This window comes from Homo sapiens, chromosome 17 (genome assembly GCF_000001405.40).
Source record: "Homo sapiens chromosome 17, GRCh38.p14 Primary Assembly".
Lineage (NCBI taxonomy): Eukaryota > Metazoa > Chordata > Mammalia > Primates > Hominidae > Homo > Homo sapiens.
Window position 1 is genome coordinate 23,301,096 of NC_000017.11, and position 27,433 is coordinate 23,328,528.

At 40.9% G+C, this 27,433-nt stretch overlaps 1 annotated feature.

Annotated features, from left to right (window-relative positions):
- Positions 1 to 27,433: part of a centromere (Linear centromere model derived predominantly from reads generated in PMID: 17803354. This region does not represent an actual centromere sequence, as long-range ordering of repeats and unmapped WGS contigs is not provided by the model. For details of model production, see http://arxiv.org/abs/1307.0035.) that runs on past both edges of the window.

A 27,433-nucleotide genomic window follows, 5' to 3' on the forward strand; every position in this document is an offset into this window, starting at 1 on the left:
TCAGAAACTTCTCTGTGATGTTTGTGTTCAACTCCCAGAGTTTCACGTTGCTTTTCATAGAGTAGTTCTGAAACATGCTTTTCGTAGTGTCTGCAAGTGGACATTTGGAGCGCTTTCAGGCCTGTGGTGGAAAACGAATTATGGTCACATAAAAACTGGAGAGAAGCCTTCTCAGAAACTTCTCTGTGATGATTGCATTCAACTCACAGAGTTGAACCCTCCTATGGATAGAGCAGTGTTGAAACTCTCTTTTTGTGGAATCTGCAAGTGGATATGTGGACCTCTCCGAAGATGTCTTTGGAAACGGGAATATCTTCACATAAAAACTAAACAGAAGCATTCTCAGAAACTTCTTGGTGATGTTTGCATTCAAATCCCAGAGTTGAACCTTCCTTTGATAGTTCAGGTTTGAAACACTCTTTCTGTAGGATCTGCAAGTGGCTATTTGGACCACTCTGTGGCCTTCGTTCGAAACGGGTATATCTTCGCATAAAATCTAGACAGAAGCATTCTCAGAAAATACTTTGTGATGATTGAGTTTAAATCACAGAGCTGACCATTCCTTTGGATGGAGCAGGTTTGAGACACACTTTTTGTAGAATCTACAAGTGGATATTTGGACCTCTCTGAGGATTTCGTTGGAAACGGGATAACTGCACCTAACTAAACGGAAGCATTCTCAGAAACTGCTTTGTGATGATTGCATTCACCTCACAGAGTTGAACATTCCTATTGATAGAGCAGTTTGGAAACACTCTTGTTGCGGAATGTGCAAGTGGAGATTTGGAGCGCTTTGAGGCCTGTGGTAGTAAAGGGAATAGCTTCATAGAAAAACTAGACAGATGCATTCTCAGGAACTTTTTGGTGATGTTTGTATTCAACTCCCAGAGTTGAACTTTCCTTTGGAAAGAGCAGCTATGAAACACTCTTTTTCTAGAATCTGCAAGTGGACGTTTGGAGGGCTTTGTGGTTTGTGGTGGAAAAGGAAATATCTTCACCTAAATACTAGATAGAAGCATTCTCAGAAGCTTCTCTGTGATGACTGCATTCAACTCACGGAGTTGAACACTCCTTTTGAGAGCGCAGTTTTGAAACTCTCTTTCTGTGGCATCTGCAAGGGGACATGTAGACCTCTTTGAAGATTTCGTTGGAAACGGAATCATCTTCACATAAAAACTATACAGAAGCAGTCTCAGAATCTTCTTTGTGATGTTTGCATTCAAATCCCAGAGTTGAACTTTCCTTTCAAAGTTCACGTTTGAAACACTCTTTTTGCAGGATCTACAAGTGGATATTTGGACCACTCTGTGTCCTTCGTTCGAAACGGGTATATCTTCACACGACATCTAGACAGAAGCTTTCTCAGAAAATTCTTTGGGATGATTGAGTGGAACTCACAGAGCTGAACATTCCTTGCGATGTAGCAGTTTAGAAACACACTTTCTGCAGAATCTGCAAGTGCATATTTGGACCTCTCTGAGGAATTCGTTGGAAACGGGATAATTTCAGCTGACTAAACAGAAGCATTCTCAGACACCCTTCTTCGTGATGTCTGCATTCAACTCACAGTGTGGAACCTTTCTTTGATAGTTCAGGTTTGAAACACTCTTTTTGTAGAAACTGCAAGGGGATAATTGCACTTCTTTGAGGCCTACCGTAGTAAAGGAAATAACTTCCTATAGAAAGAAGACAGAAGCATTCTCAGAACCCTCTTCGTGATGTTTGCATTCAACTCACAGTGCTGAACCTTTCTTTGATAGTTCAGCTTTGAAACACTCTTCTTGTAGAAACTGCAAGTGGATATTTGGTCCTCTCTGAGGATTTCGTTGGAAACGGGATAAACCGCACAGAACTAAACAGAAGAATTCTCAGAGCCCTCTTCGTGATGTTTGCATTCAACTCACAGTGCTGAACTTTTCTTTGATAGTGCAGCTTTGAAACACTCTTTTTGTAGAAACTGCAAGTGGATGTTTGGTCCTCTCTGAGGATTTCGTTGGAAACGGGATAAACCGCACAGAACTAAAACAGAAGCATTGTCAGAAACTTCTTTGTGATGATTGCATTCAACTCACAGAGTTGAAGGTTCCTTTTCAAACAGCAGTTTCCAATCACTCTTTCTGTGGAATCTGCAAGTGGATATTTGGGCCTCTCTGAGGATTTCGTTGGAAACGGGATAAAACGCACAGAACTAAAACAGAAGCATTCTCAGAAACTTCTCTGTGATGTTTGTGTTCAACTCCCAGAGTTTCACGTTGCTTTTCATAGAGTAGTTCTGAAACATGCTTTTCGTAGTGTCTGCAAGTGGACATTTGGAGCGCTTTCAGGCCTGTGGTGGAAAACGAATTATGGTCACATAAAAACTGGAGAGAAGCCTTCTCAGAAACTTCTCTGTGATGATTGCATTCAACTCACAGAGTTGAACCCTCCTATGGATAGAGCAGTGTTGAAACTCTCTTTTTGTGGAATCTGCAAGTGGATATGTGGACCTCTCCGAAGATGTCTTTGGAAACGGGAATATCTTCACATAAAAACTAAACAGAAGCATTCTCAGAAACTTCTTGGTGATGATTGCATTCAAATCCCAGAGTTGAACCTTCCTTTGATAGTTCAGGTTTGAAACACTCTTTCTGTAGGATCTGCAAGTGGCTATTTGGACCACCCTGTGGCCTTCGTTCGAAACGGGTATATCTTCGCATAAAATCTAGACAGAAGCATTCTCAGAAAATACTTTGTGATGATTGAGTTTAACTCACAGAGCTGGACATTCCTTTGGATGGAACAGGTTTGAGACACACTTTTTGTAGAATCTACAAGTGGATATTTGGACCTCTCTGAGGATTTCGTTGGAAACGGGATAACTGCACCTAACTAAACGGAAGCATTCTCAGAAACTGCTTTGTGATGATTGCATTCACCTCACAGAGTTGAACATTCCTATTGATAGAGCAGTTTGGAAACACTCTTGTTGTGGAATGTGCAAGTGGTGATTTGGAGCGCTTTGAGGCCTATGGTAGTAAAGGGAATAGCTTCATAGAAAAACTAGACAGATGCATTCTCAGGAACTTTTTGGTGATGTTTGTATTCAACTCCCAGAGTTGAACTTTCCTTTGGAAAGAGCAGCTATGAAACACTCTTTTTCTAGAATCTGCAAGTGGACGTTTGGAGGGCTTTGTGGTTTGTGGTGGAAAAGGAAATATCTTCACCTAAATACTAGATAGAAGCATTCTCAGAAGCTTCTCTGTGATGACTGCATTCAACTCACGGAGTTGAACACTCCTTTTGAGAGCGCAGTTTTGAAACTCTCTTTCTGTGGCATCTGCAAGGGGACATGTAGACCTCTTTGAAGATTTCGTTGGAAACGGAATCATCTTCACATAAAAACTATACAGAAGCAGTCTCAGAATCTTCTTTGTGATGTTTGCATTCAAATCCCAGAGTTGAACTTTCCTTTCAAAGTTCACGTTTGAAACACTCTTTTTGCAGGATCTACAAGTGGATATTTGGACCACTCTGTGTCCTTCGTTCGAAACGGGTATATCTTCACACGACATCTAGACAGAAGCTTTCTCAGAAAATTCTTTGGGATGATTGAGTGGAACTCACAGAGCTGAACATTCCTTGCGATGTAGCAGTTTAGAAACACACTTTCTGCAGAATCTGCAAGTGCATATTTGGACCTCTCTGAGGAATTCGTTGGAAACGGGATAATTTCAGCTGACTAAACAGAAGCATTCTCAGAACCTTCTTCGTGATGTCTGCATTCAACTCACAGTGTGGAACCTTTCTTTGATAGTTCAGGTTTGAAACACTCTTTTTGTAGAAACTGCAAGGGGATAATTGCACTTCTTTGAGGCCTACCGTAGTAAAGGAAATAACTTCCTATAGAAAGAAGACAGAAGCATTCTCAGAACCCTCTTCGTGATGTTTGCATTGAACTCACAGTGCTGAACCTTTCTTTGATAGTTCAGCTTTGAAACACTCTTCTTGTAGAAACTGCAAGTGGATATTTGGTCCTCTCTGAGGATTTCGTTGGAAACGGGATAAACCGCACAGAACTAAACAGAAGCATTCTCAGAACCTTCTTCGTGATGTTTGCATTCAACTCACAGTGTTGAACCTTTCTTTGATAGTTCAGGTTTGAAACGGTCTTTCTGTAGAAACTGCAAGTAGATATTTGGACCTCTCTGAGGATTTCGTTGGAAACGGGATAAACCGCACAGAACTAAAACAGAAGCATTCACAGAAAACTCTTGGTGACGACTGAGTTTAACTCACAGAGCTGAACATTCCTTTGGATGGAGCAGTTTCGAAACACACTATTTGTAGAATGTGCAAGTGGATATTTGGGCCTCTCTGAGGATTTCGTTGGAAACGGGATAAACCGCACAGAACTAAACAGAAGCATTCTCAGAAACTACTTTGTGATGATTGCATTCAAGTCACAGTAGTTGAACATTCCCTTTGACAGAGCAGTTTGGAAACTCTCTTTGTGTAGAATCTGCAAGTGGAGATATGGACCGCTTTGAGGCCTATGGTAGTAAAGGAAATAGCTTCATATAAAAGCTAGACAGTAGCATTCTCAGGACCTTCTTTGTGATGCTTGCATTCAACTCACAGAGTTGAACTTTCCTTTCGAGAGAGAAGCTTTGAAACACTCTTTTTCCAGAATGTGCAAGTGGACATTTGGAGGGCTTTGAGGCCTGTGGTGGAAAAGGAATTATCTTCCCGTAAAAGCTAGATAGAAGCATTGTCAGAAACTTCTTTGTGATGATTGCATTCAACTCACAGAGTTGAAGGTTCCTTTCCAAACAGCAGTTTCCAAACACTCTTTCTGTGGAATCTGCAAGTGGATATTTGGACCTCTTTGAAGATTTCGTTGGAAACGGGAGAATCTTCACAGAAAAGCTAAACAGAAGCATTCTCAGAAACTTCTCTGTGATGTTTGTGTTCAACTCCCAGAGTTTCACATTGCTTCTCATAGAGTAGTTCTGAAACATGCTTTTCGTAGTGTCTGCAAGTGGTCATTTGGAGCGCTTTCCGGCCTGTGGTGGAAAACGAATTATGGTCACATAAAAACTGGAGAGAAGCCTTCTCAGAAACTTCTCTGTGATGATTGCATTCAACTCACAGAGTTGAACCCTCCTATGGATAGAGCAGTGTTGAAACTCTCTTTTTGTGGAATCTGCAAGTGGATATGTGGACCTCTCCGAAGATGTCTTTGGAAACGGGAATATCTTCACATAAAAACTAAACAGAAGCATTCTCAGAAACTTCTTGGTGATGTTTCTATTCAAATCCCAGAGTTGAACCTTCCTTTGAGAGTTCAGGTTTGAAACACTCTTTTTGTAGGATCTGCAAGTGGATATTTGGACCACTCTGTGGCCTTCGTTCGAAACGGGTACATCTTCGAATAAAATCTAGACAGAAGCATTCTCAGAAAATACTTTGTGATGATTGAGTTGAACTCACAGAGCTGAACATTCCTTTGGATGGAGCAGGTTTGAGACACACTTTTTGTAGAATCTACAAGTGGATATTTGGACCTCTCTGAGGATTTCGTTGGAAACGGGATAACTGCACCTAACTAAACGGAAGCATTCTCAGAAACTGCTTTGTGATGATTGCATTCACCTCACAGAGTTGAACATTCCTATTGATAGAGCAGTTTGAAAACACTCTTCTTGTGGAATGTGCAAGTGGAGATTTGGAGCGCTTTGAGGCCTATGGTAGTAAAGGGAATAGCTTCATAGAAAAATTAGACAGATGCATTCTCAGGAACTTTTTGGTGATGTTTGTATTCAACTCCCAGAGTTGAACTTTCCTTTGGAAAGAGCAGCTATGAAACACTCTTTTTCTAGAATCTGCAAGTGGACGTTTGGAGGGCTTTGTGGTTTGTGGTGGAAAAGGAAATATCTTCACCTAAATACTAGATAGAAGCATTCTCAGAAGCTTCTCTGTGATGACTGCATTCAACTCACGGAGTTGAACACTCCTTTTGAGAGCGCAGTTTTGAAACTCTCTTTCTGTGGCATCTGCAAGGGGACATGTAGACCTCTTTGAAGATTTCGTTGGAAACGGAATCATCTTCACATAAAAACTATACAGAAGCAGTCTCAGAATCTTCTTTGTGATGTTTGCATTCAAATCCCAGAGTTGAACTTTCCTTTCAAAGTTCACGTTTGAAACACTCTTTTTGCAGGATCTACAAGTGGATATTTGGACCACTCTGTGTCCTTCGTTCGAAACGGGTATATCTTCACACGACATCTAGACAGAAGCTTTCTCAGAAAATTCTTTGGGATGATTGAGTGGAACTCACAGAGCTGAACATTCCTTGCGATGTAGCAGTTTAGAAACACACTTTCTGCAGAATCTGCAAGTGCATATTTGGACCTCTCTGAGGAATTCGTTGGAAACGGGATAATTTCAGCTGACTAAACAGAAGCATTCTCAGAACCTTCTTCGTGATGTCTGCATTCAACTCACAGTGTGGAACCTTTCTTTGATAGTTCAGGTTTGAAACACTCTTTTTGTAGAAACTGCAAGGGGATAATTGCACTTCTTTGAGGCCTACCGTAGTAAAGGAAATAACTTCCTATAGAAAGAAGACAGAAGCATTCTCAGAACCCTCTTCGTGATGTTTGCATTCAACTCACAGTGCTGAACCTTTCTTTGATAGTTCAGCTTTGAAACACTCTTCTTGTAGAAACTGCAAGTGGATATTTGGTCCTCTCTGAGGATTTCGTTGGAAACGGGATAAACCGCACAGAACTAAACAGAAGAATTCTCAGAGCCCTCTTCGTGATGTTTGCATTCAACTCACAGTGCTGAACCTTTCTTTGATAGTGCAGCTTTGAAACACTCTTTTTGTAGAAACTGCAAGTGGATGTTTGGTCCTCTCTGAGGATTTCGTTGGAAACGGGATAAACCGCACAGAACTAAAACAGAAGCATTGTCAGAAACTTCTTTGTGATGATTGCATTCAACTCACAGAGTTGAAGGTTCCTTTTCAAACAGCAGTTTCCAATCACTCTTTCTGTGGAATCTGCAAGTGGATATTTGGGCCTCTCTGAGGATTTCGTTGGAAACGGGATAAAACGCACAGAACTAAAACAGAAGCATTCTCAGAAACTTCTCTGTGATGTTTGTGTTCAACTCCCAGAGTTTCACGTTGCTTTTCATAGAGTAGTTCTGAAACATGCTTTTCGTAGTGTCTGCAAGTGGACATTTGGAGCGCTTTCAGGCCTGTGGTGGAAAACGAATTATGGTCACATAAAAACTGGAGAGAAGCCTTCTCAGAAACTTCTCTGTGATGATTGCATTCAACTCACAGAGTTGAACCCTCCTATGGATAGAGCAGTGTTGAAACTCTCTTTTTGTGGAATCTGCAAGTGGATATGTGGACCTCTCCGAAGATGTCTTTGGAAACGGGAATATCTTCACATAAAAACTAAACAGAAGCATTCTCAGAAACTTCTTGGTGATGTTTGCATTCAAATCCCAGAGTTGAACCTTCCTTTGATAGTTCAGGTTTGAAACACTCTTTCTGTAGGATCTGCAAGTGGCTATTTGGACCACTCTGTGGCCTTCGTTCGAAACGGGTATATCTTCGCATAAAATCTAGACAGAAGCATTCTCAGAAAATACTTTGTGATGATTGAGTTTAAATCACAGAGCTGACCATTCCTTTGGATGGAGCAGGTTTGAGACACACTTTTTGTAGAATCTACAAGTGGATATTTGGACCTCTCTGAGGATTTCGTTGGAAACGGGATAACTGCACCTAACTAAACGGAAGCATTCTCAGAAACTGCTTTGTGATGATTGCATTCACCTCACAGAGTTGAACATTCCTATTGATAGAGCAGTTTGGAAACACTCTTGTTGTGGAATGTGCAAGTGGAGATTTGGAGCGCTTTGAGGCCTATGGTAGTAAAGGGAATAGCTTCATAGAAAAACTAGACAGATGCATTCTCAGGAACTTTTTGGTGATGTTTGTATTCAACTCCCAGAGTTGAACTTTCCTTTGGAAAGAGCAGCTATGAAACACTCTTTTTCTAGAATCTGCAAGTGGACGTTTGGAGGGCTTTGTGGTTTGTGGTGGAAAAGGAAATATCTTCACCTAAATACTAGATAGAAGCATTCTCAGAAGCTTCTCTGTGATGACTGCATTCAACTCACGGAGTTGAACACTCCTTTTGAGAGCGCAGTTTTGAAACTCTCTTTCTGTGGCATCTGCAAGGGGACATGTAGACCTCTTTGAAGATTTCGTTGGAAACGGAATCATCTTCGCATAAAAACTATACAGAAGCAGTCTCAAGAATCTTCTTTGTGATGTTTGCATTCAAATCCCAGAGTTGAACTTTCCTTTCAAAGTTCACGTTTGAAACACTCTTTTTGCAGGATCTACAAGTGGATATTTGGACCACTCTGTGTCCTTCGTTCGAAACGGGTATATCTTCACATGACATCTAGACAGAAGCTTTCTCAGAAAATTCTTTGGGATGATTGAGTTGAGCAAACAGAGCTGAACACTCCTTGCGATGTAGCAGTTTAGAAACACACTTTCTGCAGAATCTGCAAGTGCATATGTGGACCTCTCTGAGGAATTCGTTGGAAACGGGATAATTTCAGCTGACTAAACAGAAGCATTCTCAGAACCTTCTTCGTGATGTCTGCATTCAACTCACAGTGTGGAACCTTTCTTTGATAGTTCAGGTTTGAAACACTCTTTTTGTAGAAACTGCAAGGGGATCATTGCACTTCTTTGAGGCCTACCGTAGTAAAGGAGATAACTTACTATAAAAAGAAGACAGAAGCATTCTCAGAGCCCTCTTCGTGATGTTTGCATTCAACTCACAGTGCTGAACCTTTCTTTGATAGTGCAGCTTTGAAACACTCTTTTTGTAGAAACTGCAAGTGGATGTTTGGTCCTCTCTGAGGATTTCGTTGGAAACGGGATAAACCGCACAGAACTAAAACAGAAGCATTGTCAGAAACTTCTTTGTGATGATTGCATTCAACTCACAGAGTTGAAGGTTCCTTTTCAAACAGCAGTTTCCAATCACTCTTTCTGTGGAATCTGCAAGTGGATATTTGGGCCTCTCTGAGGATTTCGTTGGAAACGGGATAAAACGCACAGAACTAAAACAGAAGCATTCTCAGAAACTTCTCTGTGATGTTTGTGTTCAACTCCCAGAGTTTCACGTTGCTTTTCATAGAGTAGTTCTGAAACATGCTTTTCGTAGTGTCTGCAAGTGGACATTTGGAGCGCTTTCAGGCCTGTGGTGGAAAACGAATTATGGTCACATAAAAACTGGAGAGAAGCCTTCTCAGAAACTTCTCTGTGATGATTGCATTCAACTCACAGTAGTTGAACCCTCCTATGGATAGAGCAGTGTTGAAACTCTCTTTTTGTGGAACCTGCAAGTGGATATGTGGACCTCTCCGAAGATGTCTTTGGAAACGGGAATATCTTCACATAAAAACTAAACAGAAGCATTCTCAGAAACTTCTTGGTGATGTTTGCATTCAAATCCCAGAGGTGAACCTTCCTTTGATAGTTCAGGTTTGAAACACTCTTTTTGTAGGATCTGCAAGTGGCTATTTGGACCACTCTGTGGCCTTCGTTAGAAACGGGTATATCTTCGCATAAAATCTAGACAGAAGCATTCTCAGAAAATACTTTGTGATGATTGAGTTTAACTCACGGAGCTGAACATTCCTTTGGATGGAGCAGGTTTGAGACACACTTTTTGTAGAATCTACAAGTGGATATTGGGACCTCTCTGAGGATTTCGTTGGAAACGCGATAACTGCACCTAACTAAACGGAAGCATTCTCAGAAACTGCTTTGTGATGATTGCATTCACCTCACAGAGTTGAACATTCCTATTGATAGAGCAGTTTGGAAACACTCTTGTTGTGGAATGTGCAAGTGGAGATTTGGAGCGCTTTGAGGCCTATGGTAGTAAAGGGAATAGCTTCATAGAAAAACTAGACAGATGCATTCTCAGGAACTTTTTGGTGATGTTTGTATTCAACTCCCAGAGTTGAACTTTCCTTTGGAAAGAGCAGCTATGAAACACTCTTTTTCTAGAATCTGCAAGTGGACGTTTGGAGGGCTTTGTGGTTTGTGGTGGAAAAGGAAATATCTTCACCTAAATACTAGATAGAAGCATTCTCAGAAGCTTCTCTGTGATGACTGCATTCAACTCACGGAGTTGAACACTCCTTTTGAGAGCGCAGTTTTGAAACTCTCTTTCTGTGGCATCTGCAAGGGGACATGTAGACCTCTTTGAAGATTTCGTTGGAAACGGAATCATCTTCACATCAAAACTATACAGAAGCAGTCTCAGAATCTTCTTTGTGATGTTTGCATTCAAATCCCAGAGTTGAACTTTCCTTTCAAAGTTCACGTTTGAAACACTCTTTTTGCAGGATCTACAAGTGGATATTTGGACCACTCTGTGTCCTTCGTTCGAAACGGGTATATCTTCACACGACATCTAGACAGAAGCTTTCTCAGAAAATTCTTTGGGATGATTGAGTGGAACTCACAGAGCTGAACATTCCTTGCGATGTAGCAGTTTAGAAACACACTTTCTGCAGAATCTGCAAGTGCATATTTGGACCTCTCTGAGGAATTCGTTGGAAACGGGATAATTTCAGCTGACTAAACAGAAGCATTCTCAGAACCTTCTTCGTGATGTCTGCATTCAACTCACAGTGTGGAACCTTTCTTTGATAGTTCAGGTTTGAAACACTCTTTTTGTAGAAACTGCAAGGGGATAATTGCACTTCTTTGAGGCCTACCGTAGTAAAGGAAATAACTTCCTATAGAAAGAAGACAGAAGCATTCTCAGAACCCTCTTCGTGATGTTTGCATTCAACTCACAGTGCTGAACCTTTCTTTGATAGTTCAGCTTTGAAACACTCTTCTTGTAGAAACTGCAAGTGGATATTTGGTCCTCTCTGAGGATTTCGTTGGAAACGGGATAAACCGCACAGAACTAAACAGAAGAATTCTCAGAGCCCTCTTCGTGATGTTTGCATTCAACTCACAGTGCTGAACCTTTCTTTGATAGTGCAGCTTTGAAACACTCTTTTTGTAGAAACTGCAAGTGGATGTTTGGTCCTCTCTGAGGATTTCGTTGGAAACGGGATAAACCGCACAGAACTAAAACAGAAGCATTGTCAGAAACTTCTTTGTGATGATTGCATTCAACTCACAGAGTTGAAGGTTCCTTTTCAAACAGCAGTTTCCAATCACTCTTTCTGTGGAATCTGCAAGTGGATATTTGGGCCTCTCTGAGGATTTCGTTGGAAACGGGATAAAACGCACAGAACTAAAACAGAAGCATTCTCAGAAACTTCTCTGTGATGTTTGTGTTCAACTCCCAGAGTTTCACGTTGCTTTTCATAGAGTAGTTCTGAAACATGCTTTTCGTAGTGTCTGCAAGTGGACATTTGGAGCGCTTTCAGGCCTGTGGTGGAAAACGAATTATGGTCACATAAAAACTGGAGAGAAGCCTTCTCAGAAACTTCTCTGTGATGATTGCATTCAACTCACAGAGTTGAACCCTCCTATGGATAGAGCAGTGTTGAAACTCTCTTTTTGTGGAATCTGCAAGTGGATATGTGGACCTCTCCGAAGATGTCTTTGGAAACGGGAATATCTTCACATAAAAACTAAACAGAAGCATTCTCAGAAACTTCTTGGTGATGTTTGCATTCAAATCCCAGAGTTGAACCTTCCTTTGATAGTTCAGGTTTGAAACACTCTTTCTGTAGGATCTGCAAGTGGCTATTTGGACCACTCTGTGGCCTTCATTCGAAACGGGTATATCTTCGCATAAAATCTAGACAGAAGCATTCTCAGAAAATACTTTGTGATGATTGAGTTTAAATCACAGAGCTGAACATTCCTTTGGATGGAGCAGGTTTGAGACACACTTTTTGTAGAATCTACAAGTGGATATTTGCACCTCTCTGAGGATTTCATTGGAAACGGGATAACTGCACCTAACTAAACGGAAGCATTCTCAGAAACTGCTTTGTGATGATTGCATTCACCTCACAGAGTTGAACATTCCTATTGATAGAGCAGTTTGGAAACACTCTTGTTGTGGAATGTGCAAGTGGAGATTTGGAGCGCTTTGAGGCCTATGGTAGTAAAGGGAATAGCTTCATAGAAAAACTAGACAGATGCATTCTCAGGAACTTTTTGGTGATGTTTGTATTCAACTCCCAGAGTTGAACTTTCCTTTGGAAAGAGCAGCTATGAAACACTCTTTTTCTAGAATCTGCAAGTGGACGTTTGGAGGGCTTTGTGGTTTGTGGTGGAAAAGGAAATATCTTCACCTAAATACTAGATAGAAGCATTCTCAGAAGCTTCTCTGTGATGACTGCATTCAACTCACGGAGTTGAACACTCCTTTTGAGAGCGCAGTTATGAAACTCCCTTTCTGTGGCATCTGCAAGGGGACATGTAGACCTCTTTGAAGATTTCGTTGGAAACGGAATCATCTTCACATAAAAACTATACAGAAGCAGTCTCAGAATCTTCTTTGTGATGTTTGCATTCAAATCCCAGAGTTGAACTTTCCTTTCAAAGTTCACGTTTGAAACACTCTTTTTGCAGGATCTACAAGTGGATATTTGGACCACTCTGTGTCCTTCGTTCGAAACGGGTATATCTTCACACGACATCTAGACAGAAGCTTTCTCAGAAAATTCTTTGGGATGATTGAGTGGAACTCACAGAGCTGAACATTCCTTGCGATGGAGCAGTTTAGAAACACACTTTCTGCAGAATCTGCAAGTGCATATTTGGACCTCTCTGAGGAATTCGTTGGAAACGGGATAATTTCAGCTGACTAAACAGAAGCATTCTCAGAACCTTCTTCGTGATGTCTGCATTCAACTCACAGTGTGGAACCTTTCTTTGATAGTTCAGGTTTGAAACACTCTTTTTGTAGAAACTGCAAGGGGATAATTGCACTTCTTTGAGGCCTACCGTAGTAAAGGAAATAACTTCCTATAGAAAGAAGACAGAAGCATTCTCAGAACCCTCTTCGTGATGTTTGCATTCAACTCACAGTGCTGAACCTTTCTTTGATAGTTCAGCTTTGAAACACTCTTCTTGTAGAAACTGCAAGTGGATATTTGGTCCTCTCTGAGGATTTCGTTGGAAACGGGATAAACCGCACAGAACTAAACAGAAGAATTCTCAGAGCCCTCTTCGTGATGTTTGCATTCAACTCACAGTGCTGAACCTTTCTTTGATAGTGCAGCTTTGAAACACTCTTTTTGTAGAAACTGCAAGTGGATGTTTGGTCCTCTCTGAGGATTTCGTTGGAAACGGGATAAACCGCACAGAACTAAAACAGAAGCATTGTCAGAAACTTCTTTGTGATGATTGCATTCAACTCACAGAGTTGAAGGTTCCTTTTCAAACAGCAGTTTCCAATCACTCTTTCTGTGGAATCTGCAAGTGGATATTTGGGCCTCTCTGAGGATTTCGTTGGAAACGGGATAAAACGCACAGAACTAAAACAGAAGCATTCTCAGAAACTTCTCTGTGATGTTTGTGTTCAACTCCCAGAGTTTCACGTTGCTTTTCATAGAGTAGTTCTGAAACATGCTTTTCGTAGTGTCTGCAAGTGGACATTTGGAGCGCTTTCAGGCCTGTGGTGGAAAACGAATTATGGTCACATAAAAACTGGAGAGAAGCCTTCTCAGAAACTTCTCTGTGATGATTGCATTCAACTCACAGAGTTGAACCCTCCTATGGATAGAGCAGTGTTGAAACTCTCTTTTTGTGGAATCTGCAAGTGGATATGTGGACCTCTCCGAAGATGTCTTTGGAAACGGGAATATCTTCACATAAAAACTAAACAGAAGCATTCTCAGAAACTTCTTGGTGATGTTTGCATTCAAATCCCAGAGTTGAACCTTCCTTTGATAGTTCAGGTTTGAAACACTCTTTCTGTAGGATCTGCAAGTGGCTATTTGGACCACTCTGTGGCCTTCGTTCGAAACGGGTATATCTTCGCATAAAATCTAGACAGAAGCATTCTCAGAAAATACTTTGTGATGATTGAGTTTAACTCACAGAGCTGAACATTCCTTTGGATGGAGCAGGTTTGAGACACACCTTTTGTAGAATCTACAAGTGGATATTTGGACCTCTCTGAGGATTTCGTTGGAAACGGGATAACTGCACCTAACTAAACGGAAGCATTCTCAGAAACTGCTTTGTGATGATTGCATTCACCTCACAGAGTTGAACATTCCTATTGATAGAGCAGTTTGGAAACACTCTTGTTGTGGAATGTGCAAGTGGAGATTTGGAGCGCTTTGAGGCCTGTGGTAGTAAAGGGAATAGCTTCATAGAAAAACTAGACAGATGCATTCTCAGGAACTTTTTGGTGATGTTTGTATTCAACTCCCAGAGTTGAACTTTCCTTTGGAAAGAGCAGCTATGAAACACTGTTTTTCTAGAATCTGCAAGTGGACGTTTGGAGGGCTTTGTGGTTTGTGGTGGAAAAGGAAATATCTTCACCTAAATACTAGATAGAAGCATCCTCAGAAGCTTCTCTGTGATGACTGCATTCAACTCACGGAGTTGAACACTCCTTTTGAGAGCGCAGTTTTGAAACTCTCTTTCTGTGGCATCTGCAAGGGGACATGTAGACCTCTTTGAAGATTTCGTTGGAAACGGAATCATCTTCACATAAAAACTATACAGAAGCAGTCTCAGAATCTTCTTTGTGATGTTTGCATTCAAATCCCCGAGTTGAACTTTCCTTTCAAAGTTCACGTTTGAAACACTCTTTTTGCAGGATCTACAAGTGGATATTTGGACCACTCTGTGTCCTTCGTTCGAAACGGGTATATCTTCACATGACATCTAGACAGAAGCTTTCTCAGAAAATTCTTTGGGATGATTGAGTTGAACTCACAGAGCTGAGCATTCCTTGCGATGTAGCAGTTTAGAAACACACTTTCTGCAGAATCTGCAAGTGCATATTTGGACCTCTGTGAGGAATTCGTTGGAAACGGGATAATTTCAGCTGACTAAACAGAAGCATTCTCAGAACCTTCTTCGTGATGTCTGCATTCAACTCACAGTGTGGAACCTTTCTTTGATAGTTCAGGTTTGAAACACTCTTTTTGTAGAAACTGCAAGGGGATAATTGCACTCTTTGAGGAGTACCGTAGTAAAGGAAATAACTTCCTATAAAAAGAAGACAGAAGCATTCTCAGAACCCTCTTCGTGATGTTTGCATTCAACTCACAGTGCTGAACCTTTCTTTGATAGTTCAGCTTTGAAACACTCTTTTTGTAGAAACTGCAAGTGGATATTTGGTCCTCTCTGAGCATTTCGTTGGAAACGGGATAAACTGCACAGAACTAAACAGAAGCATTCTCAGAACCTTCTTCGTGATGTTTGCATTCAACTCACAAGTGTTGAACCTTTCTTTGATAGTTCAGGTTTGAAACGGTCTTTCTGTAGAAACTGCAAGTAGATATTTGGACCTCTCTGAGGATTTCGTTGGAAACGGGATAACCCGCACAGAACTAAAACAGAAGCATTCACAGAAAACTCTTGGTGACGACTGAGTTTAACTCACAGAGCTGAACATTCCTTTGGATGGAGCAGTTTCGAAACACACTATTTGTAGAATGTGCAAGTGGATATTTGGGCCTCTCTGAGGATTTCGTTGGAAACGGGATAAACCGCACAGAACTAAACAGAAGCATTCTCAGAAACTACTTTGTGATGATTGCATTCAAGTCACAGAGTTGAACATTCCCTTTGACAGAGCAGTTTGGAAACTCTCTTTGTGTAGAATCTGCAAGTGGAGATATGGACCGCTTTGAGGCCTATGGTAGTAAAGGAAATAGCTTCATATAAAAGCTAGACAGTAGCATTCTCAGAAACTTCTTTGTGATGCTTGCATTCAACTCACAGAGTTGAACTTTCCTTTTGAGAGAGAAGCTTTGAAACACTCTTTTTCCAGAATGTGCAAGTGGACATTTGGAGGGCTTTGAGGCCTGTGGTGGAAAAGGAATTATCTTCCCGTAAAAGCTAGATGGAAGCATTGTCAGAAACTTCTTTGTGATGATTGCATTCAACTCACAGAGTTGAAGGTTCCTTTTAAACAGCAGTTTCCAATCACTCTTTCTGTGGAATCTGCAAGTGGATATTTGGACCTATTTTGAAGATTTCGTTGGAAACGGGAGAATCTTCACAGAAAAGCTAAACAGAAGCATTCTCAGAAACTTCTCTGTGATATTTGTGTTCAACTCCCAGAGTTTCACGTTGCTTTTCATAGAGTAGTTCTGAAACATGCTTTTCGTAGTGTCTGCAAGTGGACATTTGGAGCGCTTTCAGGCCTGTGGTGGAAAACGAATTATGGTTACATAAAAACTGGAGAGAAGCCTTCTCAGAAACTTCTCTGTGATGATTGCATTCAACTCACAGAGTTGAACCCTCCTATGGATAGAGCAGTGTTGAAACTCTCTTTTTGTGGAATCTGCAAGTGGATATGTGGACCTCTCCGAAGATGTCTTTGGAAACGGGAATATCTTCACATAAAAACTAAACAGAAGCATTCTCAGAAACTTCTTGGTGATGTTTGCATTCAAATCCCAGAGTTGAACCTTCCTTTGATAGTTCAGGTTTGAAACACTCTTTTTGTAGGATCTGCAAGTGGATATTTGGACCACTCTGTGGCCTTCGTTCGAAACGGGTATATCTTCGCATAAAATCTAGACAGAAGCATTCTCAGAAAATACTTTGTGATGATTGAGTTTAACTCACAGAGCTGAACATTCCTTTGGATGGAGCAGGTTTGAGACACACTTTTTGTAGAATCTACAAGTGGATATTTGGACCTCTCTGAGGATTTCGTTGGAAACGCGATAACTGCACCTAACTAAACGGAAGCATTCTCAGAAACTGCTTTGTGATGATTGCATTCACCTCACAGAGTTGAACATTCCTATTGATAGAGCAGTTTGGAAACACTCTTGTTGTGGAATGTGCAAGTGGAGATTTGGAGCGCTTTGAGGCCTATGGTAGTAAAGGGAATAGCTTCATAGAAAAACTAGACAGATGCATTCTCAGGAACTTTTTGGTGATGTTTGTATTCAACTCCCAGAGTTGAACTTTCCTTTGGAAAGAGCAGCTATGAAACACTGTTTTTCTAGAATCTGCAAGTGGACGTTTGGAGGGCTTTGTGGTTTGTGGTGGAAAAGGAAATATCTTCACCTAAATACTAGATAGAAGCATCCTCAGAAGCTTCTCTGTGATGACTGCATTCAACTCACGGAGTTGAACACTCCTTTTGAGAGCGCAGTTTTGAAACTCTCTTTCTGTGGCATCTGCAAGGGGACATGTAGACCTCTTTGAAGATTTCGTTGGAAACGGAATCATCTTCACATAAAAACTATACAGACAGTCTCAGTAATCTTCTTTGTGATGTTTGCATTCAAATCCCAGAGTTGAACTTTCCTTTCAAAGTTCACGTTTGAAACACTCTTTTTGCAGGATCTACAAGTGGATATTTGGACCACTCTGTGTCCTTCGTTCGAAACGGGTATATCTTCACATGACATCTAGACAGAAGCTTTCTCAGAAAATTCTTTGGGATGATTGAGTTGAACTCACAGAGCTGAGCATTCCTTGCGATGTAGCAGTTTAGAAACACACTTTCTGCAGAATCTGCAAGTGCATATTTGGACCTCTGTGAGGAATTCGTTGGAAACGGGATAATTTCAGCTGACTAAACAGAAGCATTCTCAGAACCTTCTTCGTGATGTCTGCATTCAACTCACAGTGTGGAACCTTTCTTTGATAGTTCAGGTTTGAAACACTCTTTTTGTAGAAACTGCAAGGGGATAATTGCACTCTTTGAGGAGTACCGTAGTAAAGGAAATAACTTCCTATAAAAAGAAGACAGAAGCATTCTCAGAACCCTCTTCGTGATGTTTGCATTCAACTCACAGTGCTGAACCTTTCTTTGATAGTTCAGCTTTGAAACACTCTTTTTGTAGAAACTGCAAGTGGATATTTGGTCCTCTCTGAGCATTTCGTTGGAAACGGGATAAACTGCACAGAACTAAACAGAAGCATTCTCAGAACCTTCTTCGTGATGTTTGCATTCAACTCACAGTGTTGAACCTTTCTTTGATAGTTCAGGTTTGAAACGGTCTTTCTGTAGAAACTGCAAGTAGATATTTGGACCTCTCTGAGGATTTCGTTGGAAACGGGATAACCCGCACAGAACTAAAACAGAAGCATTCACAGAAAACTCTTGGTGACGACTGAGTTTAACTCACAGAGCTGAACATTCCTTTGGATGGAGCAGTTTCGAAACACACTATTTGTAGAATGTGCAAGTGGATATTTGGGCCTCTCTGAGGATTTCGTTGGAAACGGGATAAACCGCACAGAACTAAACAGAAGCATTCTCAGAAACTACTTTGTGATGATTGCATTCAAGTCACAGAGTTGAACATTCCCTTTGACAGAGCAGTTTGGAAACTCTCTTTGTGTAGAATCTGCAAGTGGAGATATGGACCGCTTTGAGGCCTATGGTAGTAAAGGAAATAGCTTCATATAAAAGCTAGACAGTAGCATTCTCAGAAACTTCTTTGTGATGCTTGCATTCAACTCACAGAGTTGAACTTTCCTTTCGAGAGAGAAGCTTTGAAACACTCTTTTTCCAGAATCTGCAAGTGGACATTTGGAGGGCTTTGAGGCCTGTGGTGGAAAAGGAATTAACTTCCCGTAAAAGCTAGATAGAAGCATTGTCAGAAACTTCTTTGTGATGATTGCATTCAACTCACAGAGATGAAGGTTCCTTTACAAACAGCAGTTTCCAAACACTCTTTCTGTGGAATCTGCAAGTGGATATTTAGACCTCTTTGAAGATTTCGTTGGAAACGGGAGAATCTTCACAGAAAAGCTAAACAGAAGCATTCTCAGAAACTTCTCTGTGATGTTTGTGTTCAACTCCCAGAGTTTCACATTGCTTTTCATAGAGTAGTTCTGAAACATGCTTTTCGTAGTGTCTGCAAGTGGACATTTGGAGCGCTTTCAGGCCTGTGGTGGAAAACGAATTATGGTCCCATAAAAACTGGAGAGAAGCCTTCTCAGAAACTTCTCTGTGATGATTGCATTCAACTCACAGATTTGAACCCTCCTATGGATAGAGCATTGTTGAAACTCTCTTTTTGTGGAATCTGCAAGTGGATATGTGGACCTCTCCGAAGATGTCTTTGGAAACGGGAATATCTTCACATAAAAACTAAACAGAAGCATTCTCAGAAACTTCTTGGTGATGTTTGCATTCAAATCCCAGAGTTGAACCTTCCTGTGATAGTTCAGGTTTGAATCACTCTTTTTGTAGGATCTGCAAGTGGATATTTGGACCACTCTGTGGCCTTCGTTCGAAACGGGTACATCTTCACATAAAATCTAGACAGAAGCATTCTCAGAAAATACTTTGTGATGATTGAGTTTAACTCACAGAGCTGAACATTCCTTTGGATGGAGCAGGTTTGAGACACACTTTTTGTAGAATCTACAAGTGGATATTTGGACCTCTCTGAGGATTTCGTTGGAAACGCGATAACTGCACCTAACTACACGGAAGCCTTCTCAGAAACTACTTTGTGATGATTGCATTCACCTCACGGAGTGGAGCATTCCTATTGACAGAGCAGTTTGGAAACACTCTTGTTGTGGAATGTGCAAGTGGAGATTTGGAGCGCTTTGAGGCCTATGGTAGTAAAGGGAATAGCTTCATAGAAAAATTAGACAGATGCATTCTCAGGAACTTTTTGGTGATGTTTGTATTCAACTCCCAGAGTTGAACTTTCCTTTGGAAAGAGCAGCTATGAAACACTCTTTTTCTAGAATCTGCAAGTGGACGTTTGGAGGGCTTTGTGGTTTGTGGTGGAAAAGGAAATATCTTCACCTAAATACTAGATAGAAGCATTCTCAGAAGCTTCTCTGTGATGACTGCATTCAACTCACGGAGTTGAACACTCCTTTTGAGAGCGCAGTTTTGAAACTCTCTTTCTGTGGCATCTGCAAGGGGACATGTAGACCTCTTTGAAGATTTCGTTGGAAACGGAATCATCTTCACATAAAAACTATACAGAAGCAGTCTCAGAATCTTCTTTGTGATGTTTGCATTCAAATCCCAGAGTTGAACTTTCCTTTCAAAGTTCACGTTTGAAACACTCTTTTTGCAGGATCTACAAGTGGATATTTGGACCACTCTGTGTCCTTCGTTCGAAACGGGTATATCTTCACATGACATCTAGACAGAAGCTTTCTCAGAAAATTCTTTGGGATGATTGAGTTGAACTCACAGAGCTGAACATTCCTTGCGATGGAGCAGTTTAGAAACACACTTTCTGCAGAATCTGCAAGTGCATATTTGGACCTCTCTGAGGAATTCGTTGGAAACGGGATAATTTCAGCTGACTAAACAGAAGCATTCTCAGAACCTTCTTCGTGATGTCTGCATTCAACTCACAGTGTGGAACCTTTCTTTGATAGTTCAGGTTTGAAACACTCTTTTTGTAGAGACTGCAAGGGGATAATTGCACTTCTTTGAGGCCTACCGTAGTAAAGGAAATAACTTCCTATAAAAAGAAGACAGAAGCATTCTCAGAACCCTCTTCGTGATGTTTGCATTCAACTCACAGTGCTGAAACTTTCTTTGATAGTTCAGCTTTGAAACACTCTTTTTGTAGAAACTGCAAGTGGATACTTGGTCCTCTCTGAGGATTTCGTTGGAAAAGGGATAAACCGCACAGAACTAAACAGAAGCATTCACAGAAAACTCTTGGTGACGACTGAGTTTAACTCACAGAGCTGAACATTCCTTTGGATGGAGCATTTTCGAAACACACTATTTGTAGAATCTGCACGTGGATATTTGAGCCTCTCTGAGGATTTCGATGGAAACGGGATAAACCGCACAGAACTAAAACAGAAGCATTCTCAGAAACTACTTTGTGATGATTGCATTCAAGTCACAGAGTTGAACATTCCCTTTGACAGAGCAGTTTGGAAACTCTCTTTGTGTAGAATCTGCAAGTGGAGATATGGAATGCTTTGAGGACTATGGTAGTAAAGGAAATAGCTTCATATAAAAGCTAGACAGTAGCATTCTCAGAAACTTCTTTGTGATGCTTGCATTCAACTCACAGATGTTGAACTTTCCTTTCGAGAGAGAAGCTTTGAAACACTCTTTTTCCAGAATCTGCAAGTGGACATTTGGAGGGCTTTGAGGCCTGTGGTGGAAAAGGAATTATCTTCCCGTAAAAGCTAGATAGAAGAATTGTCAGAAATTTCTTTGTGATGATTGCATTCAACTCAAAGAGTTGAAGGTTCCTTTTCAAGCAGCCGTTTGCAAACACTCTTTCTGTGGAATGTGGAAGAGGATATTTGGACGTCTTTGAAGATTTCGTTGGAAACATGATAATCTTCCCAGAAAAGCTAAACAGAAGCATTCTCAGAAACTTCTCTGTGATGTTTGTGTTCAACTCACAGTGTTTCACGTTGCTTTTCATAGAGCAGTTCTGAAACATTCTTTTCGCAGTGTCTACAAGTGGACATTTGGAGAGCTTTCAGGCCTGTGGTGGAAAAGAAATTATCGTCACATAAGAACTAGAGAGAAGCCTTCTCAGAAACTTCTCTGTGATGACTGCATTCAACTCACAGAGTTGAACCCTCCTATGGATAGAGCAGTGTTGAAACTCTCTTTTTGTGGAATCTGCAAGTGGATATGTGGACCTCTCCGAAGATGTTCTTTGGAAACGGGAATATCTTCACATAAAAACTAAACAGAAGCATTCTCAGAAACTTCTTGGTGATGTTTGCATTCAAATCCCAGAGTTGAACCTTCCTTTGATAGTTCAGGTTTGAAACACTCTTTTTGTAGGATCTGCAAGTGGATATTTGGACCACTCTGTTGCCTTCGTTCAAAACGGGTACATCTTCGCATAATATCTAGACAGAAGCATTCTCAGAAAATACTTTGTGATGATTGAGTTTAAATCACAGAGCTGACCATTCCTTTGGATGGAGCAGGTTTGAGACACACTTTTTGTAGAATCTACAAGTGGATATTTGGACCTCTCTGAGGATTTCGTTGGAAACGGGATAACTGCACCTAACTAAACGGAAGCATTCTCAGAAACTGCTTTGTGATGATTGCATTCACCTCACAGAGTTGAACATTCCTATTGATAGAGCAGTTTGGAAACACTCTTGTTGTGGAATGTGCAAGTGGAGATTTGGAGCGCTTTGAGGCCTATGGTAGTAAAGGGAATAGCTTCATAGAAAAACTAGACAGATGCATTCTCAGGAACTTTTTGGTGATGTTTGTATTCAACTCCCAGAGTTGAACTTTCCTTTGGAAAGAGCAGCTATGAAACACTCTTTTTCTAGAATCTGCAAGTGGACGTTTGGAGGGCTTTGTGGTTTGTGGTGGAAAAGGAAATATCTTCACCTAAATACTAGATAGAAGCATTCTCAGAAGCTTCTCTGTGATGACTGCATTCAACTCACGGAGTTGAACACTCCTTTTGAGAGCGCAGTTTTGAAACTCTCTTTCTGTGGCATCTGCAAGGGGACATGTAGACCTCTTTGAAGATTTCGTTGGAAACGGAATCATCTTCACATAAAAACTATACAGAAGCAGTCTCAGAATCTTCTTTGTGATGTTTGCATTCAAATCCCAGAGTTGAACTTTCCTTTCAAAGTTCACGTTTGAAACACTCTTTTTGCAGGATCTACAAGTGGATATTTGGACCACTCTGTGTCCTTCGTTCGAAACGGGTATATCTTCACACGACATCTAGACAGAAGCTTTCTCAGAAAATTCTTTGGGATGATTGAGTGGAACTCACAGAGCTGAACATTCCTTGCGATGTAGCAGTTTAGAAACACACTTTCTGCAGAATCTGCAAGTGCATATTTGGACCTCTCTGAGGAATTCGTTGGAAACGGGATAATTTCAGCTGACTAAACAGAAGCATTCTCAGAACCTTCTTCGTGATGTCTGCATTCAACTCACAGTGTGGAACCTTTCTTTGATAGTTCAGGTTTGAAACACTCTTTTTGTAGAAACTGCAAGGGGATAATTGCACTTCTTTGAGGCCTACCGTAGTAAAGGAAATAACTTCCTATAGAAAGAAGACAGAAGCATTCTCAGAACCCTCTTCGTGATGTTTGCATTCAACTCACAGTGCTGAACCTTTCTTTGATAGTTCAGCTTTGAAACACTCTTCTTGTAGAAACTGCAAGTGGATATTTGGTCCTCTCTGAGGATTTCGTTGGAAACGGGATAAACCGCACAGAACTAAACAGAAGAATTCTCAGAGCCCTCTTCGTGATGTTTGCATTCAACTCACAGTGCTGAACCTTTCTTTGATAGTGCAGCTTTGAAACACTCTTTTTGTAGAAACTGCAAGTGGATATTTGGTCCTCTCTGAGGATTTCGTTGGAAACGGGATAAACCGCACAGAACTAAAACAGAAGCATTCACAGAAAACTCTTGGTGACGACTGAGTTTAACTCACAGAGCTGAACATTCCTTTGGATGGAGCAGTTTCGAAACACACTATTTGTAGAATCTGCAAGTGGATATTTGGGCCTCTCTGAGGATTTCGTTGGAAACCGGATTAAAACGCACAGAACTAAAACAGAAGCATTCTCAGAAACTACTTTGTGATGATTGCATTCAAGTCACAGAGTTGAACATTCCCTTTGACAGAGCAGTTTGGAAACTCTCTTTGTGTAGAATCTGCAAGTGGAGATATGGACCGCTTTGAGGCCTATGGTAGTAAAGGAAATAGCTTCATATAAAAGCTAGACAGTAGCATTCTCAGAAACTTCTTTGTGATGCTTGCATTCAACTCACAGAGTTGAACTTTCCTTTCGAGAGAGAAGCTTTGAAACACTCTTTTTCCAGAATGTGCAAGTGGACATTTGGGGAGCTTTGAGGCCTAGGGTGGAAAAGGAATTATCTTCCCGTAAAAGCTAGATAGAAGCATTGTCAGAAACTTCTTTGTGATGATTGCATTCAACTCACAGAGTTGAAGGTTCCTTTTCAAACAGCAGTTTCCAATCACTCTTTCTGTGGAATCTGCAAGTGGATATTTCGACCTCTTTGAAGATTTCGTTGGAAACGGGAGAATCTTCACAGAAAAGCTAAACAGAAGCATTCTCAGAAACTTCTCTGTGATGTTTGTGTTCAACTCCCAGAGTTTCACGTTGCTTTTCATAGAGTAGTTCTGAAACATGCTTTTCGTAGTGTCTGCAAGTGGACATTTGGAGCACTTTCAGGCCTGTGGTGGAAAACGAATTATGGTCACATAAAAACTGGAGAGAAGCCTTCTCAGAAACTTCTCTGTGATGATTGCATTCAACTCACAGAGTTGAACCCTCCTATGGATAGAGCAGTGTTGAAACTCTCTTTTTGTGGAATCTGCAAGTGGATATGTGGACCTCTCCGAAGATGTCTTTGGAAACGGGAATATCTTCACATAAAAACTAAACAGAAGCATTCTCAGAAACTTCTTGGTGATGTTTGCATTCAAATCCCAGAGTTGAACCTTCCTTTGATAGTTCAGGTTTGAAACACTCTTTCTGTAGGATCTGCAAGTGGCTATTTGGACCACTCTGTGGCCTTCGTTCGAAACGGGTATATCTTCGCATAAAATCTAGACAGAAGCATTCTCAGAAAATACTTTGTGATGATTGAGTTTAAATCACAGAGCTGACCATTCCTTTGGATGGAGCAGGTTTGAGACACACTTTTTGTAGAATCTACAAGTGGATATTTGGACCTCTCTGAGGATTTCGTTGGAAACGGGATAACTGCACCTAACTAAACGGAAGCATTCTCAGAAACTGCTTTGTGATGATTGCATTCACCTCACAGAGTTGAACATTCCTATTGATAGAGCAGTTTGGAAACACTCTTGTTGTGGAATGTGCAAGTGGAGATTTGGAGCGCTTTGAGGCCTGTGGTAGTAAAGGGAATAGCTTCATAGAAAAACTAGACAGATGCATTCTCAGGAACCTTTTGGTGATGTTTGTATTCAACTCCCAGAGTTGAACTTTCCTTTGGAAAGAGCAGCTATGAAACACTCTTTTTCTAGAATCTGCAAGTGGACGTTTGGAGGGCTTTGTGGTTTGTGGTGGAAAAGGAAATATCTTCACCTAAATACTAGATAGAAGCATTCTCAGAAGCTTCTCTGTGATGACTGCATTCAACTCACGGAGTTGAACACTCCTTTTGAGAGCGCAGTTTTGAAACTCTCTTTCTGTGGCATCTGCAAGGGGACATGTAGACCTCTTTGAAGATTTCGTTGGAAACGGAATCATCTTCACATAAAAACTATACAGAAGCAGTCTCAGAATCTTCTTTGTGATGTTTGCATTCAAATCCCAGAGTTGAACTTTCCTTTCAAAGTTCACGTTTGAAACACTCTTTTTGCAGGATCTACAAGTGGATATTTGGACCACTCTGTGTCCTTCGTTCGAAACGGGTATATCTTCACACGACATCTAGACAGAAGCTTTCTCAGAAAATTCTTTGGGATGATTGAGTGGAACTCACAGAGCTGAACATTCCTTGCGATGGAGCAGTTTAGAAACACACTTTCTGCAGAATCTGCAAGTGCATATTTGGACCTCTCTGAGGAATTCGTTGGAAACGGGATAATTTCAGCTGACTAAACAGAAGCATTCTCAGAACCTTCTTCGTGATGTCTGCATTCAACTCACAGTGTGGAACCTTTCTTTGATAGTTCAGGTTTGAAACACTCTTTTTGTAGAAACTGCAAGGGGATAATTGCACTTCTTTGAGGCCTACCGTAGTAAAGGAAATAACTTCCTATAGAAAGAAGACAGAAGCATTCTCAGAACCCTCTTCGTGATGTTTGCATTCAACTCACAGTGCTGAACCTTTCTTTGATAGTTCAGCTTTGAAACACTCTTCTTGTAGAAACTGCAAGTGGATATTTGGTCCTCTCTGAGGATTTCGTTGGAAACGGGATAAACCGCACAGAACTAAACAGAAGAATTCTCAGAGCCCTCTTCGTGATGTTTGCATTCAACTCACAGTGCTGAACCTTTCTTTGATAGTGCAGCTTTGAAACACTCTTTTTGTAGAAACTGCAAGTGGATGTTTGGTCCTCTCTGAGGATTTCGTTGGAAACGGGATAAACCGCACAGAACTAAAACAGAAGCATTGTCAGAAACTTCTTTGTGATGATTGCATTCAACTCACAGAGTTGAAGGTTCCTTTTCAAACAGCAGTTTCCAATCACTCTTTCTGTGGAATCTGCAAGTGGATATTTGGGCCTCTCTGAGGATTTCGTTGGAAACGGGATAAAACGCACAGAACTAAAACAGAAGCATTCTCAGAAACTTCTCTGTGATGTTTGTGTTCAACTCCCAGAGTTTCACGTTGCTTTTCATAGAGTAGTTCTGAAACATGCTTTTCGTAGTGTCTGCAAGTGGACATTTGGAGCGCTTTCAGGCCTGTGGTGGAAAACGAATTATGGTCACATAAAAACTGGAGAGAAGCCTTCTCAGAAACTTCTCTGTGATGATTGCATTCAACTCACAGAGTTGAACCCTCCTATGGATAGAGCAGTGTTGAAACTCTCTTTTTGTGGAATCTGCAAGTGGATATGTGGACCTCTCCGAAGATGTCTTTGGAAACGGGAATATCTTCACATAAAAACTAAACAGAAGCATTCTCAGAAACTTCTTGGTGATGTTTGCATTCAAATCCCAGAAGTTGAACCTTCCTTTGATAGTTCAGGTTTGAAACACTCTTTTTGTAGGATCTGCAAGTGGATATTTGGACCACTCTGTGGCCTTCGTTCGAAACGGCTATATCTTCGCATAAAATCTAGACAGAAGCATTCTCAGAAAATACTTTGTGATGATTGAGTTAAAATCACAGAGCTGAACATTCCTTTGGATGGAGCAGGTTTGAGACACACTTTTTGTAGAATCTACAAGTGGATATTTGGACCTCTCTGAGGATTTCGTTGGAAACGGGATAACTGCACCTAACTAAACGGAAGCATTCTCAGAAACTGCTTTGTGATGATTGCATTCACCTCACAGAGTTGAACATTCGTATTGATAGAGCAGTTTGGAAACACTCTTCTTGTGGAATGTGCAAGTGGAGATTTGGAGCGCTTTGGGGCCTATGGTAGTAAAGGGAATAGCTTCATAGAAAAACTAGACAGATGCATTCTCAGGAACTTTTTGGTGATGTTTGTATTCAACTCCCAGAGTTGAACTTTCCTTTGGAAAGAGCAGCTATGAAACACTCTTTTTCTAGAATCTGCAAGTGGACGTTTGGAGGGCTTT